This window comes from Homo sapiens, chromosome 5 (assembly GCF_000001405.40).
Source record: "Homo sapiens chromosome 5, GRCh38.p14 Primary Assembly".
NCBI lineage: Eukaryota > Metazoa > Chordata > Mammalia > Primates > Hominidae > Homo > Homo sapiens.
The window spans coordinates 111,483,705-111,494,923 of record NC_000005.10 but is presented as its reverse complement, the minus strand read 5'-3'; the positions used below and the strand labels follow the sequence as shown (position 1 = coordinate 111,494,923).

Sequence of the window (11,219 nt, the reverse complement as noted above, 5' to 3'; positions counted from 1 at the left end):
TGAATTGTGGTAACATTTGAAATCACAGAATGCAAAGTTTTGGTGGTTTCTTAAATGATTTATTATCGTATTCTACATGCCAACTGCTTTACATTTCCCAGCAGCAAGATATAGGCTTCTTTGGGCATGTTCTGACATGTCTGTCTGAGTGAACTTACACCAAGTAACATTGGCCCTCAGGTCAAATTTCTACAATTAGTCTTCCAACACCCATTTTTTATAATGTCACGTACTCTTCAAGTTCCTAGAAAACACCCCCCAACCCCCCCCAAAATTTACATATTTAATTACTGAATTGGGTTATCCAACCTGAATCCAAGAAGAAGCCACAGCTCTCATGTGGTCTGCCTCAGGCTTTGGGCAGCTGAGACAGCCCATGACTGTTGTGTCCCATCTGTAAGAAGTAGAAACTCACTGGTCAGTCACCACCATTGAAGAATACTGTAGCTCTACAACAGCAAATGGGCATGATTTTGATGAATTCTCTACAAACATTTTCTGTATGTACATTTATGCCCAGGCCAGACTTAATACATTTACCTAAAAATATTGTAATATATCTTTGTATTAAGTAGTCAATAGCACCATATTGTCAGGTTTTAAAAATGAAGTGTTCACAGCTCCATTTTCAGTGCTCTTCAAATTAGAAGTTGGGAAGGTAGCCTATAATCTTGGTTGTGTAAACTTAAAATATTTATACTTTGTCCTCCAAATCTTACATGCTCTTGTGTTTGGCTACTGACTTGCAGCCTAAACTATTGGAGATGTAGCTTTCCTGTATGCAGTGCTGTTCCATTAATCTAATCCTCTATGCTGCTATTGAGCTGCTTATATCCTTTTAGTCCAGAAAGCTTTCAGCAACCCAGGAATAAAAATTTCTCCTTTAGGAAAGACTAGAAAACACATCCAGATAATGTCACATAAGCCTGAAAAGCCCAAGTAGGAAGTTTTCCTTTCTCAATGTCTGCTAACTTACGATTTTTGTAACCTCACAGTAATTCTACTTCTCTTCCATCATTCAAATGACAGTCAATCTTGCTCCCTATCTTCCTTCATTTGTCTTCAGGAATAATGCCGCCATTCACTAATCACAGGCATTATCTGAAATAAAGAGGCAAGACAACTAAAAGTACACATACTAAATGTCTAAATGTCTCCCAAGTTTCTTGAAGATGGATGTAAAAATACTGCCTGCAATAAATGATATCAAAAGGAACTTACAAAACAGTATGTAAAGGGACAAAAGGGAGAGATGAAAAAGGACTTGACAGGAGCAGGTTGATGTTTGGAGAAACAAGTTCTGATGGTTTTAAATTTTGTTGCCTGAGACTTAGCTTCCTACAGGTTGTCTTTTAAAATCTAAACTTTCAGGTAGAATTCAATCAGAAATCCTGGGGGATTGCCTATTCAGGTCAAATAACTGAAAAGGTTGAAAAAATGAGGTCAGCAATAACCTTGATTCGGTCCTCCACTGGCAACATTTTAGGAAGTACGTGATTTTTTGGAGTCATGAGACATTTTTCAGAAATTGGAGTCTTGGAAAACTTGAAATTATCTGTCATACTATCATTTACTCTGTTTTGTCAGTGGAGACCTGGCCAATTCAGTTTTTGCTTTCAGTGACTGAGGCTTTGCTTTAACCTGGTGACTCCCAAAAATATCTTCGATGTGTTTGATGATTTTTATTTGGCTTAGAAGCACAGCAGATGAGCCAAGTATGTCAGGCTAGATGCTCTGAGGAAAGGCTGCACATGGACCTACCCAGAGTAAGGAAGGAGTAAGGAAGTCTAATTCAATTTTGCACGAGATGAGATTCTGTTGCACACTGGCAACACTTCCCTGTGTATTTCAGCCTTTCACATTTAGTATTCTTCCTTCACCTCTGCCTTTCATTTTTCCACTCTATGATCAGGCCGGTTCTCAGCCAGACATGCCCCCTACTTCTTCCCTACCTGCAAAGATTCACCCATCTTTCACATACAGCCTGTGTTTCCATAAAGCTTTCCTTCATCATTCCTGGCAAAAGGGAGCTTTTCCCTCTTTCCATTCCTAGGGCTTATCATCTGCCTAAATGCAGCATAGGTTATATATGTACAGGTTGTATCTATAAGGTTGGCTTTTCTCTCCAACTACAAAGCTCACTCCTGGAGGATAGCATTGGATTTAATTCATCTTTGACTCCTCCATGGCATATAATAGTTTCTCAGTGAAAGTTCACAGGGAAAATTGTTCCTGGAGGGGGCTGCTCCTGGGAAGCTTCAAAATTAGAAAATCACTTCCTTACAATGTGATTAGAATGTAGGCCTAATATCCCCTAAACTATGTTGTTTAGTTTCTGGGAGAAACATTAGCTATTGACTTCATTCATTTCTAAAGTATTTGTCCATCAATGATCGTCTTCAAACTGAGCAATCAAGAAGATGGGCAGGGGAGAATGTGGAATCCTAATCTACATTTTGTTATCTTTCCCCTCACTCATTCCAGTAAAGTCTCTGCTACACATAATGATGCGGACTGGCAGAAGATTGATATCTTTTGTTCTGAGTTCTACAGCGAGTGTATCCTAGTGGCTATATTATATTATTGATTGCTGTAATAATAGAGCAATAATATTGCTGTATATTATTTAGAGTTATAATTTTAGGTACTCCTAATAAATTGATATTGCACTTTCTACTAAATATTTCATTTGTGACCTTTTGGTTACAGATGTTGAAAGTCAAACGGAAACACAAAGGTCATGAATGCCTATGTTTTTCTCCATATCTCGGTCACTAGCTTCCCTTAAGGTGGATATTTTGGAATGAACAATTTCTCTGTGACAGAAATAGACTAAGACAAGGGCCCTTCTTGGATTTCTAAATATGTAAGGAAAGCAAACGAAAGCATTTACTCAAGGCCCTCTCTTTTCAAAGAAATAAAATACGTAACACTCAGGAAAGCGTGGGGATTAGAAAATGGCTTTCTTACATAAAAGAGCTGGCTGTTTGCGTATTCCCTGAGCTATTGTTGAGAAAGTCATTGTCATATAATGCCACAAAATAAAACATAATATTTCCTAAAATGATTAATGAAAATTCAATTGATATAAATTACTTCAGAATATTATGAGAGATTCAGAACCATAGGGATCTTCTTATTTCTTAGCTTAGTAAGTAACAGCTGTAGATTGACTTAAATGTGAGCAAATGCCAGTGAAAGATGTCATTTACATAATTTTAAATGTAAGGATCAAATTTCTAAAACATGCTCAAAGTGCTAGAAATCTTTTTAATTCTACTCTCAACCAACTCAATTCATACTCTAAATTTCTTTTCTTCAGGAGTGATGCAATTTTGCGTTTTTAGTTCTGTAGGAAAATTTCACTAAGTTGTATCTATCTCCAGCACAATTATTGTTGTGAGAGCATCTGCAACATAAAACAAAATTTTCCTAACTTTCTCAGAAGCAAATGGGAATACGAACCTTAAGCTAAGGAGAAAAAAAAAAAAACAAACTGGAATATAGGAATCTGTATTCCTGCAAGTCACCAAAAAGGCATTGGGGTGCCATGAAAACCCAGGGTCATTGTTTTACTGTAAGGGTCCAGATACACATTTTAGGCTTTGCAGTCCATATGGTCTCTGTTGAAAGTACTCAACTCTGCCTTGACAACATAAAAGCAGCCACAAACAATATGTACATAAATGAGCATGCCTGTGTTCCAATAAAAATGGGGCTTTGGTAGATTTGCTCTGTGAATCATTGGTTGCTTGAGTTCTGAAAAATTTTTGGAGATTTGAGTTCAGTTCTTGGGGAATTATGTGGAAATTACTCTTTAAAAAAATATGCACATAAGTTTTAATGTGTGTATCTCAAAGACGAGAGATAAAATGAATGACTGACATTCAAGTAAGAGCATAAATAACTAATTTGTTTACTAATAATCTTTTACTGATACCTTTAGTTCATTGGGCATAAGAAATCACCTAAACCCCAACTCAGCTGTACCCACTCACTAAACTCACAAGACATTGAAAAATGTTGAAAGAAACACAGCAACATCTGTTGGACATGGAATGGACTACTATTACTATGTTTAGGCCTAACTCCTTAATAAATGGATATGTTACAACGTTCTTTTGGCTTATAGAGGACTTTTAAAATATTACTGAGACTTAAGGGTGCCGTAAAAAGAAAAACAAAATTACAAATTATGAATATGCTATTTGTTCTCTACGCTGCTGCATATTAACTGTATTGTAGGTATATAAAATAGGTCAGGTTAAAAGGAGGCAGTATGAGATGATAGTTTTCAATTTATGGTCATATATATATATTTTTTTTTGACGGAGTTTCGCTCTTGTTGTCCAGGCTGGAGTGCAGTGGCATGATCTTGGCTCACTGCAACCTCTGCCTCCCGGGTTCAAGAGATTCTCCTGCCTCAGCCTCCTGAGTAGCTGAGATTACAGGAGCGTGCCACCATGCCCAGCTAATTTTTGTATTAGGGGTTTCACCACGTTGGCCAGGCTGGTCTCAAACTCCTGACCTCAGGTGATCTGCCAACCTCGGCCTCCCAAAGTGTTGGGATTACAGGCATGAACTATCACGCCCAGCCTATAGTTATGCTTAACTGTACCTTTACAAAACAGATGAACTGCTCTACATCTATCAAGGAAAGGACAAACCTAGTAACTTTTTATCATTCACAAACTGTCAAAGTTGAGAGAGAGCTCAGGGAAAACAACCGCTTTCAAAAATTAGAATGCAAGGTCTTGTATTTAAGTAGCCTGAAATAATCTTTTAAATGGAAAATAAAGATTAATCAGAGTGAAAATTAAATGTTATTTTGACACAATGAATCACAAGCAACGATTAAATGTATATATTCTGTATCTATATGTTTTCCAGGTCAATCTTCAAAATGAGCTGAAAACAACTGTTTAGAATAGTGTGATTTTGCAGTCTTTGCATTGCTGTTTAGAGTATCAAACAAAATTCTGGGCCACAGATACGCTGCATTTCTCCAGTCTGGGATGCTCCTGTCAGGGCTTTAGAGATGACCATAGGGATGGAACAAAACACTGATCTGGGATAAGGCATAGCAAACCAAGACAAGAAAAGAGTAACCCACTGGTGGAATCTCATTTTTCCATTACTGACCAATGACAATATACCAATATTCAAATTGTATCACTTTCAATCAGAGGATGAGAAGAGGTTTTCTCCCACTTGCCTCATTTGAGCTCAACCAGGTAGATGCCTGGAGTCTTCTCTAGAGCAACATCTGATTCCTTTGAAGGAGTAAGACAGTTCACTTTCTCGGCAAGGCTTCTATTTTGCCCTGGTGGACCTCTGAACCAGACAACAGGGAACAGACTGAGTTCTTGAAGGAAGTTAGTATCACACAACCCAATCGTCTTGAGTACATCACAGAGCATTTATGAAAGTTGGAATTTTAAATAACCAAACAAATTAATCAAGTTTGTTATTGCTCTCCAAGATAAGTATAGACATGGCCAAGCTTTATGAGCTGAGATTATATTATCTGATCTCAGGTAATAGCCACAAGGAGTAATAATGACAAAATTTGCTCTTAATATATTGGTCAAAATATAGAAAGAGGAAATACTGAACTTGGTTACTGTGGGTGGTTTGCTGATATCTCTCCAGTGGTCTCTCTCCTTTTTTTTCTTATTTGCCAAGGAGACAAAAATTCACCCTGAGTGTGTCAGGGGAATAAAAGGACTTTGAAAAATTTTATAGGAAATTATTGGGTACATTTCTGTTTATCATGTGGTTATGAATATTGTAATACCAATAGTGAAATAACATGTACACAATTTTTTTAAATGCAGACACACATAACATCTAACCATTAAACAATGTTCAACCAGTAAATGCTCAACTACTAGCAATGACCCTGATCAGGAACATATCAGTGATGAACATAAGGAAATCAGAATATGGACTAATAGGCAGGAATTACAAGGAAATTACAAATCCTTTTACATAGGTTACTATCTGGAAATTTTGCACCATCTAAAGTAAATCTAGACAACATGACTGAATACTTTGCAATGACAAATAAGTGACATAATGGCACTATGATTAATTGACTCTGCTATGTATATTTGTTAATTATACATTGAGTCAACCATCAAGAAAATGCTAGTGCTGATTCACTTTGTTGACCTTTTTTTAAAAAAATTTGCTTTGCAAAAACAATTCTAAAACAAAATAAATGGCTTACTAAGTTTATCCTTTGCCTTTTCTGGCATTTACTTTTCTTTTTCCAACTTGAAATACAACCAGCTGCTTCTGTGCAATAAAAACTGATTTATGAAACAAAATGGCTCTCTCCAAATCTTCAGCCTGTAGGCAACCCACCATCAGTTACCATGCATGTGAAACAGGACATAGGGATTGCTAAACATTCTGAATTACAAAATATGTTTAAAATACTATGAAATTGAAGTCACAGTAAAAATTGTTCCTTTCTTTTTAAGTCTTCCACTAAAAATGACTATAGAACCTTGAGGATTATTCTAAAATCAGTATGTAAAAAATTTTCAAAAGTCTTTTGTTAAATCCATGTGTAATGGCAGTGTTGATTAAACCCTTCTAAGGAAATCTTAAAAAATGCCAGCTAATGGTCATATTCCCACTTTGAGGATAACTGGCATGATATCACCATCATTACACAATCTTCATCATGCAGATTTGGTATGGTTCATTAGATTTCCAGAAAGACATATTGCCTGTGATACAAGGATGGCATGAAGCTTAATCCAGGCCTCAAAATCAGATTCTATGTGCAGTTCTTCCTGAATGAAGACACATAGTTGGCTGAGAGTAGATTTTGGTAAGCAAGAATGCTATTGGCATCATGGCAGTACTCAGGAGACTCTAGGCTGTAGTCAAGACTCCAGGGCCCATCAGGAATCAGAGGGATTGGTCAGTAGATAATTTAGTAATGCCCGTTCTTTGAAGTCATGTTAGGAATCATTTCTCCTCTGAAGTAAATGAATGGGCAGGAGTGGTCAATAAGCTTTTACTCAGTGTGTAACATTTCTGAAACACTTTCTTTGTGGCCTCCCACCAGCTCCTCAATGTGAAAACTGAGGCCACTTAAATCTAAGCATAGAACTTCAAGTGTCACTTTGCTTAAAATAAAAAGTACTCTAGACTAGTGCTGTCTAATATGGTAGCCACTAGCCACATGTGACTATTGAGCACTTGATGTCCCAAAGGCCTAACATACACTCTTGATTTTGAAAACAGTATAAAAATAAAGAATTCAAAATATCACATTAAATTTTAATATTGACTATATATCGATAGAATAATTTGGATGAATTGGATTAAAAATACTATACTTTCATCTATTTTTCTTAAAATGTGACTAATAGAAAATCTTAAATGACATGTGCTTGCATTATATTTATATAATGCACTTGTTCTGGACAATTAACTTCTACCACGATATTATTCTAATTTTTACCTATTTATGTGTCCTGGGACAAGTGAAATTACAGTTTGAGAAAAAATACTGGATTCCAATTAGACTTTGTTAATGGGGGAAATAATTCAAGACTGTCCTTCATGGTTATAAAAAAAAACCTAGTTTATGCTATGTAGCTGAACTTATCTCAAAATAAAAACCCATAATGTAATGTGATAAGTGTTAGCTCTAAAATGTAAAATGTAATTTATTGTTTGCTGAAATTTGAATTCTTTTGCTTTGTGACTATATTGCCAATTAGGAGTGATGTTATGAAGTATTTTGTGAAATTAAATCTCCATTTGTCTACTATTATTTAGCTAAGTAATCTTTGAGATAGACAATACATTCCATTTTAACAAGCAATATAAACATTGGCTGTTCTTTCAAAAATGTTAACATAATTATCCTAACTTAGGATGTATGTATATGAAATCTTTGAATAATTTGACTGAAATGACCAACATTTTTGAAAGTTTGATTTGTTTCCTACTGAAACAATGAAATTAGTCACTATATAGTCATTATCAGAATCTTATCTTTAACATGAGTCAAAATTTAAAACTCCCATTGATTTTTTTAAAAATGTAGTTTATGGGTTTAAAAAGATAGAGGGAATTATCAACTCGAGTACTCACATGGAGGAATGGTAATATGCACTCATTTAAATGAGTAAATTCTAAAATACACATTGGGCATGGTATTTGCAACGTTGTTTCTATAGTTCTCAGGGCCAAACAATGCAGTCCGCCCTACTCTAGTGTTGAAATAATGTAACAACTGCCCTTGGAACAATATGGGGGTGGGCAGGGAGGAATGATGTGTTCTGATCTTTCAGCTAAGCGCCAAGTGCCACTTTCTAAAAAGACCCCCTTCCCTCTCTTTGCTCTTCCAACACGTGTGTGTGTGTGTGTGTGTGTGTGTGTGTGTGTGTGTGTGTTTCAGTCTCATGGTAAAAAGTACAACAGGAAATTGATCCTCTTAAATGGAAATCTTAATGCTTAACAAAGAAGACATTCTTAAAGGTTAAAAATAGCGAGCCCCTTATAATGGACAACATGGGAATTCTGAGAGGGAATAATTAAATGAGGAAGGAAGGAAAGAGGGAATAAGAAAAGTGCTCTCTACTAGATAGTACAAATAAAACAAAACAAAAAATAATCTTCTGAGCCCAGATGATGTGCTTCTTCAGGGGCTCCATATCAGTGACCTGTCAGATTCTTAAACTATGAAAGATAAGAAGTCCTACCTTGTTTTCTTCCCATGAGAACAGTAGTAGAGAGAGATTTGTGATTGAAAAGAAGAATGTCTACTGAGGTCCAACAGCCTCTACAAACTGGAGCTTTAGTTTCGTTTTCTAATTTAATAGTTTTGAGGGAGAGCCAACATAATTTAAGATCTCTTTTTTAACAAGGATTTTTATGTGATAGTCATTTTTATTGTCTTTATTTGGTCTCTGAAAATAATTATTTTTTAAAATGAATTCTTTTTTAAAATTGAGAAAACCCACCAAAAATGTGACACATAATTAATCTGATAAAATATTCATTTCAACTCAAACTAGAAATAAATTGGAGATAGTGCAATTTCTATAAGGGGAAAGTGTTTCTATGAAAGTCAAAGAGAAATTAAACTTATTCTGGGAAAAATCATAATAAAATATCAGGTCTAATGTTCCAGCTTTTTAAGAGTCTGATTTGAAATCAGTATTTTTCTTTATTTTTGTTTTTGTTTGTTTTTTAAGGTAAATAAATTGCATTGTGCTAAATTTATTGGCAGCCACATTCTCAACACTACATTGTAAAATGTGGGTACTTTCATTCCAAATACGAGAAAAAGACATACTAGCTTTTCATAAATAACTTTAGTTTATAAGTGATATGTGTAGATAACCATCAATTGGATAAAAAAAGAGCTTTGATAAACAATAATGTTTTCTTACTCTATTAAAGTCAATAATGAATAATCTTAAAATGGAATATTATTCCTACTCTATGAAGACATTTTGGCACTAACCTGTGAAATAGAATTTTCTAAATATTTGCAACTTGGTAATTATAGAGTTTATCCATTAAAATGTTCTTATCTGTAAAGTTGTATAAATTCATGAGTAAATACAATTTTATCTGGAAAATGAAAAGGAATCAATCTTATCTTCATCAGTTTAAGTACAGTCTTACCTTCTTTTCTTCCCTGTTTATTACACCCTAAGCTTTGTCTATCAGAAAGTCATCTTATTGGAGAGCAGGTGAAGGAAAGAATGGAACTCAGCGTGAGTTTGTAAATTACTTCCTCCAGGGTTGTAAAATGGCAGAATCTTAGAACATTTTGGTTATTATTAATATAGTGTATATAAATAAGAATAAAATAAAGCATTCTCCACACAGGCTTTAGGGACATATGGCTTCATGGCCTTTAAGGATACTTCAATTTCTTACCATTGCAAGTGGATTTTTTTTTGCACATATGTACAACTATCATCTATAAGCATCTCCTTGTAAACAGTTTGAACACATCAATGATAAAAAGTAAAATGTTGTAAAAGTTATGGGAACATGTCTTTTAGCACTACCTAGTATTAGCTAAGCAGTAGTTCAAAGGAATTACTGCCTTGTGAAGAAATCCAAAGGATGTAGGATGGCTAGATTTTCAAAGCAAAAACAATTTGCTACTATTCACTTCAAATATGTGCCACTGGTTGCTGAAAATGTATGCTTTTAAGTGTTACGTTGTGTTAACTTGCAAGATTTAACTCATCGGTATTAGGTATCCATTACATGCCATAGAAGACACTATTATTTTCATAAAGCAGTCACATGCATTGAAGTTAGAATTACCAACTGGTATATATGTATGTTTTTTGCACCTCAAAAACAGAATCACTATAGTACATATCATGCTTCCACACCTTTCTTGCTGAAGGACAAAGTACATAAAATGCCGGTGTTTGGCTTCCAGATCTGAAGGAAGCTGTTTAGTACTCTGGCAGGATCACATCTTGCTGTGGAACTTCAAAACCCACAGCAGAGCTTCCTTGCCCTTCTCTGGGAGCTGCTGCCTCCTCCACAGTCTTCAGCTTCTCCTCTGCTAGGCCCTCCTCTAGTTCCAGGTCAGCCACCTTTATCCCATCCTCCACTGCCTTGGGCACCATTTTGGGGGCCTCTTCAGCATTTATATCTGCACCTTTAACTTTCTCTAAGGCTTGCACCTTCATCAGCTCAGCCTGTGCCCCCTTAACTGCGGCTTGGGCCCCATCGCCTTGAATTTTCTCTCCTTCTGGAATAGCTTTCATGTCCTCGTTGCCATCTTGGATTGGAGAAGGGTCTCGGCTAGCCTTGTGGCTCTCCTGGATGCTGCCATGGCTGCTGCTGGCACTTCCCAGGCGCGAAGAGGCCACCACAGCCTTCACCGCTGCCTGATTGGAAACAGAAGAGTGTCAAGTGTTACCTCTGCTTTAACACCCCACATCAGAGCTCAACCCCAGCTTTGCTTTTAGGGATTCCGTTTTATAGGTTAGCGTTAAAGTTTTCAAAGTACCTTATTCCTAGATTGTTTGCCAAAAGAAAATTTGGAGAATGAACAGTAAAACCTCTTTCATCTCAAATTAAATACAAATTAGTGTATTTAATCATCTGGACAACTGAAAGCCTGAATACATGTGTTTACCTGTGGCTAACCAATTTTTGAAAATTTTAATCTGTGTTTCCCGGTGTATTTGTTTTACGGAACACTAGTT

At 35.9% G+C, this 11,219-nt stretch overlaps 1 protein-coding gene across 7 annotated transcripts in view; it reads right to left on the bottom strand.

The window, feature by feature from the left end:
* Positions 1–37: 37 nt before the first annotated feature.
* CAMK4 (calcium/calmodulin dependent protein kinase IV) overlaps positions 38–11,219 on the bottom strand; it is a 271,304-nt gene continuing 260,122 nt past the window's right edge. For 6 of the 7 annotated variants that reach the window (NM_001323375.2, NM_001323374.2, NM_001744.6 and 3 more), the window contains one exon: positions 38–10,898. In NM_001323375.2, coding sequence (NP_001310304.1) covers positions 10,458–10,898 — 441 coding nt within the window. In that variant the 3' untranslated portion in view covers positions 38–10,457. The remainder of the gene's footprint in view (positions 10,899–11,219) is intronic. The other variant, XR_948303.3, reaches the window with a different exon arrangement.